This window comes from Homo sapiens, chromosome 3, assembly GCF_000001405.40.
Source record: "Homo sapiens chromosome 3, GRCh38.p14 Primary Assembly".
Taxonomy (NCBI): domain Eukaryota; kingdom Metazoa; phylum Chordata; class Mammalia; order Primates; family Hominidae; genus Homo; species Homo sapiens.
In genome coordinates, this window is record NC_000003.12 from 72,535,512 (window position 1) to 72,540,214 (window position 4,703).

Below are 4,703 nucleotides of genomic sequence, written 5' to 3' on the forward strand. Positions count from 1 at the left end.
CAGTCTCCCAAAGTGCTGGGATTACAAGCATGAGCCACTGTGCCCAGCTCCCAACTTTTAAAAATGAATTAAAATTAATTGTCTAATTCATTGTTGTCTACAGTTCGATGGATTTTGACAAATGCCACCACCACCCCAATCGAGAACATTTTCATCCACCTCCCAAGACCCCTCATGGCTCTTTCCAGTTAATCCCCTCACCCTTCAACAGACAACCAATATTCTGATTTCTATCACCTTAGTTCAGTTTTGTCTGTTCTACAACTTGCTATAAGTGGTACCAAACTCTATATGCTCCCTCTCTCTCCACTTTTAACATGCAAATGATGTCTGCAATTACTTTCCATGAGTAAGCAGGTCACATGAAGAACACACACCGCCTTGATCCAGTGGCTCTGCATCTCCCCCAACACACCAGACTGTGCAGTCGTGAGTGTGCTAAGTCGAACCACATGAAATGTCGTTTTTGATTTAGTGGCAGCGGGGCCAATCTCTCCCTTCCCCTCTTCTGAAGTCCTCCAATCTCAGGGCCTGCTGACCCCCTGCTTCCTGGCCCCAGCACACAGCAATCGCTCTACCCTGAGAGTCCCAGCGTCCTGAGAGGTTCTATTTTTGGCTAGAATAACAATCTCCAATGCAGGCACAGAGCTGTTCAGCTTAATAGCTAATAATAATATTAGCTACCATTTACTGAAGGCTCTCTCTTCAAGACACTGAGCTTAGTGTTTGCATACATTATCCCATGTAATTTTTACAGCCTCCCAGTGAGGCATTATCTCCATTTTACCCACTAGGAAACAGGCTCAGAGAGGTTAGAAAGCTGCTTCGAAGCTTTCTGTGGGCGAACGACTCACCTGGGGATCTGTTAAAATGCAGATCCTTACTCAGTAGGTCTGGGCTGGCCTGAGATTCTGCATCTAGTAACAAACTCCCAATTGGTGCTGATGTTGCTGGTTCATGGATCACACTTGGAGTAGCAAGGGATGAGATAATCCCTCTAAGGTCAATTACCAGCAAGGGGACATTCAACAATATGAATGTCTTCTTTCAAACCCAATGTTTTTAAAGTCTGTTTATGTAGTGGGGAGAAGAAAACAAACAAACAAACTGGGGCAGAATTCCTTTTCCAGGAGGCAAGTGCTTTTGTTCAGCAAAACCTCCTGATGAGATACTTAGGTTGTGGAAAGCGCTCCCTCCAGGCAAGGCAGGAATGGGCTACAAATTAGACAAAGAGATAGCTAAAGTACTCTTCAAGGGAGATGAACAAGTAAATCTAGGGGCTGGAAGCTGAAGAGAAAGCAAGATGGGGGTGGGTGCTGGAGCCCACAAGGAGAAGAGGAAGATGAACTTCCCTGGAGGTGGGAAGGCTGTATGGACTCTTACAGTTTTAGGTGTTGGCTCTGTTGGGCTAGAAGCATTTGATGTTGTTAGGATCGTTCAGCCAAGTCTGTTACACACCATAGTCTTGAGTTGGTGGAAGCTTGGAAAGAGGAGAGATGGGGGTGGGGTTTGAATGACCCTTGAATATTTAATGCGCATGTGCAGTGGGCAAAGATGGAGACGTCAACCTAAAAGGAAAGTCAGAGGCAGTGACGAGAGGAGCCCCTCCCTCCGACACTGCCTCCACCCGTCTCCTGAGAGAAACACGGGGTTTTCCCTGTTCTTGAGCTCGGGGTTCAAGCCCAACTTGTTTACAATTTTAAAGGCAATTACCATAAGATTTTACATCTTTTATTTAATTTATTGCATGTGACAACCTTGGGAGGTGAGAGGCTAGGATCGTCATCCCCATTTTACAGATGCAGAAAGCAAGGCTGGGAGGGTGAGCTTTGGCACTGTTCCCACAGCCACACAGCTGAAGGGCATCAGAGATGGGACCAAAAGTGTGCTCTGAACCCTCCCTGTGAATCAGAATCTCCTGGGGAGATTTTAAAAAGTACCAATTTGCCTAGATCTCCGCCAGGCCATCTGCATTCTGTTTGTCTGAGTTGGGCCCAAGCATCAGGATGTTTCAAAAGATCCTCATTGGCTCCAGTGTTCAGGCAGGAGGAGAACCTTGCACTCGATGGTTCATGTAAAGTGCGTAGCTCAGCACCGGGCTCAGAGCCGGGCAGTAATCAGCCCAGTTAGCATCAGCTGCTGTGGATATTTTTACTATGCAAACTCAAGCCCTATGACACCATGCTGTCGCCCACTGGTTCTCAAACTCTACCAAGCATCAGAGTCACCTGGAGGGCTTGTTAAAACACAGAAAGCTGGGTTCACCCCCTGAGCTTCTGGGGTCTGGGTTAGGAATCCAGAAGGTGCCTTTCTGACAAGCTGCCTTTCTTAATGCTGCTGTTCCAGGGATCACACTTTGCGAACCAGCTCTGTAAACAAAGCAAGGCAAGACGACTCAAAAGGGCACATGATTTTCAATCCTTCCAACTTGGGATCAAGTGGCCAGACTGAGTGGGGCCCTTCCAGTGGCCTGCCATGACAGATGGCAGGACTGGGTGTTGGGCGACCTTTGGCAGGTACATCGCCTAGCAGGTGTGACTAAGACATTGCCGGTTCGTGGCCGACATTCTGGGACCTGGTCCTACATTCAATGGCTGACAGGAGCCTGAAATGGATAGAAAACACCTGTAGCCTAGGCAACACAGTCTGGCTCATACAATTACAGACTACTTGAAAAAGAGAACAGTGAGGAGGAAGGGAGGAAATGAACATGTGTAAGAAAAGAGGAGCTCAGTGTCAAATGTTCCGTATGCTTGCATGTTCATACATGCTCTCACAGACACACGTAGACACTACTGCATACTATACATATTCTTTCAACCTGGGCTGGGAAAGAGGAACCAAGACAAGGGTTCTGGAACCTACTTTGGCTTTTCTGCTCTCAGGCAAGAAGCCAGACATTGTCCCATTTGAGTTGCCATAAATTGGGTCATGGGACCACCCCCATCACCATCACCCTGACCACAGTCTGGTCAGATCTGCTAGCCCCAAACTGCCACGTGTAGACATAAGGGAGCCTGGCAGCCAATGAGGAGGCCTGGTGCAAAAACTCTGACTGACAGAGAAGCCCTGCAGTAGACAAATGGGAACTATCCAAGTTAGGGCTTACCCTCTGGGGGACACATAGAGTGGAGGGAAACAAGCCGAGGTGGCAGAAAGGGAAGACAGAAAGAGTAGGTGGGGCTGAGTCACCACTCAACAGTCTTTTTTTTTTTTTTAAATCGTGGTATTTTTTCTACCATAAGCATTTTTATTGATTTTTTTTTTATTTATTTATTTTGTAGAGACAAGGTAATGTTGCCTAGGCTGGTCTTGAACTCCTGAGCTAAAGTGATACTCCCTGTTTGGCATTCCAAAGTGTTGGGATTACAGGTGTCAGCCACTGCATCTGGTGGTGGCTGATGCCTGTATTTTTATTTTTAAATTTTAAACAAAATTTAATGTTTAATTTAATTTATATTTATGTACTTCTCTATTTAAGTTCAGAGATAGGGTCTCATTGTATCTCCTAGCCTGGATTTGAATTCTTGGGCTCAAGTCATCCCGCCTCAGCCTCCTGAGTAGCTAGGATAATAGGCATATGCCATCACACCCTGCGAGGACAGTCTTAGAGTAGGCAGTCCCTTCTGAGGGAGTGACAAGATGGCCAGGTCGCTGGAACTGCTGATGTAGCCTCACCCATATTCCGTACTGGCTTGTTGACCTTAAAGCTTTTTGAATAAGCAGAGCTCATTACCTCCTTCTATTCCACCCCATGGAGCAGGGATGGAGGTTTGGGTCTAACTCAAATGCTCTGACGGGCCATCAGCTCCAAAACAGATAGAACACTCACTGAATTCAAAAAGCTATGCACACATGGGGGTGGTCTCTCCTTGCCCCCTTCTTCTACGTGGCTGAGCAGGAAAAGCAATGACCACCCCAGCCATTTCTGTCTCTTTAGATTCCTGTTCTACTCCCACATAGAACCCCCCTCACCCTACCTTTGCACACATATTCTCTCTCTCTCTCTCTCTCTCTCTCTCTCTCTCTCTCTCTCTCTGCTCACTGATGGGTGGGTTCTGCCCTTTCCTCTCATTGCAGTGGTAAGATGAGGAAGTCTATATGGGCTGCTTTGGTTCTAGATCACAAGTGTTGCATCAACTCAGATAAAAAGGTTCTATATCAGAGCTCACCAGTCTGCATTGGACATGCATAGGGAGCCCCAGTTAAATAAAAATGTATTTCATTCAGGACTCTTGGTTGCCAACAAAAAGAAGCCCAATTCAAATTGGCTTAAAAATTTAAAAAGATGAGAGAAGGGAAGAGGGTGCTTTTGCTTCAGTGGCTTCTGATACAGCTGAGTCCAGCAGCTCAACAATCACATCAAGACTCACTGTTTCCCCATTTCTCGCCTCAACTTGCCTTTATTCCTGAGTGGTAAGCACCACTATCAGCTACTCAAGGCTCACGCTCTACCAGTAGAAACAAACGAAGCCCTGTGATTCTCTTAGATTCAAGCCAGAGTCCTGGAAGACCTAGGTCAGCCAGGCCTGGGTTGCAAACCTATCAATGCACCCTCTGCTGGACTGGTCAGGCCTGGGTTCTGTGCCCACTCCTGGACAGAGAGTGGGCGAAGTCTGGCTCCCAAAGGATAGTCAGGGTCCTGTTACCAGAAGAATGGAGAACGGATGCTGGGAAGGCAAAACCAACAAAGGCTGACCACA

The 4,703-nt window shown here is 46.9% G+C and overlaps 1 annotated feature.

Moving 5' to 3' along the window:
* Window positions 724-1,365: an enhancer, noted in NCBI's record as "NANOG hESC enhancer chr3:72585386-72586027 (GRCh37/hg19 assembly coordinates)". NCBI's record gives its function as "activates a minimal SCP1, AML or CMV promoter by ChIP-STARR-seq in primed H9 embryonic stem cells {active_cell/tissue: H9 hESC(primed)}" and the evidence as "EXISTENCE:reporter gene assay evidence [ECO:0000049][PMID:30033119]".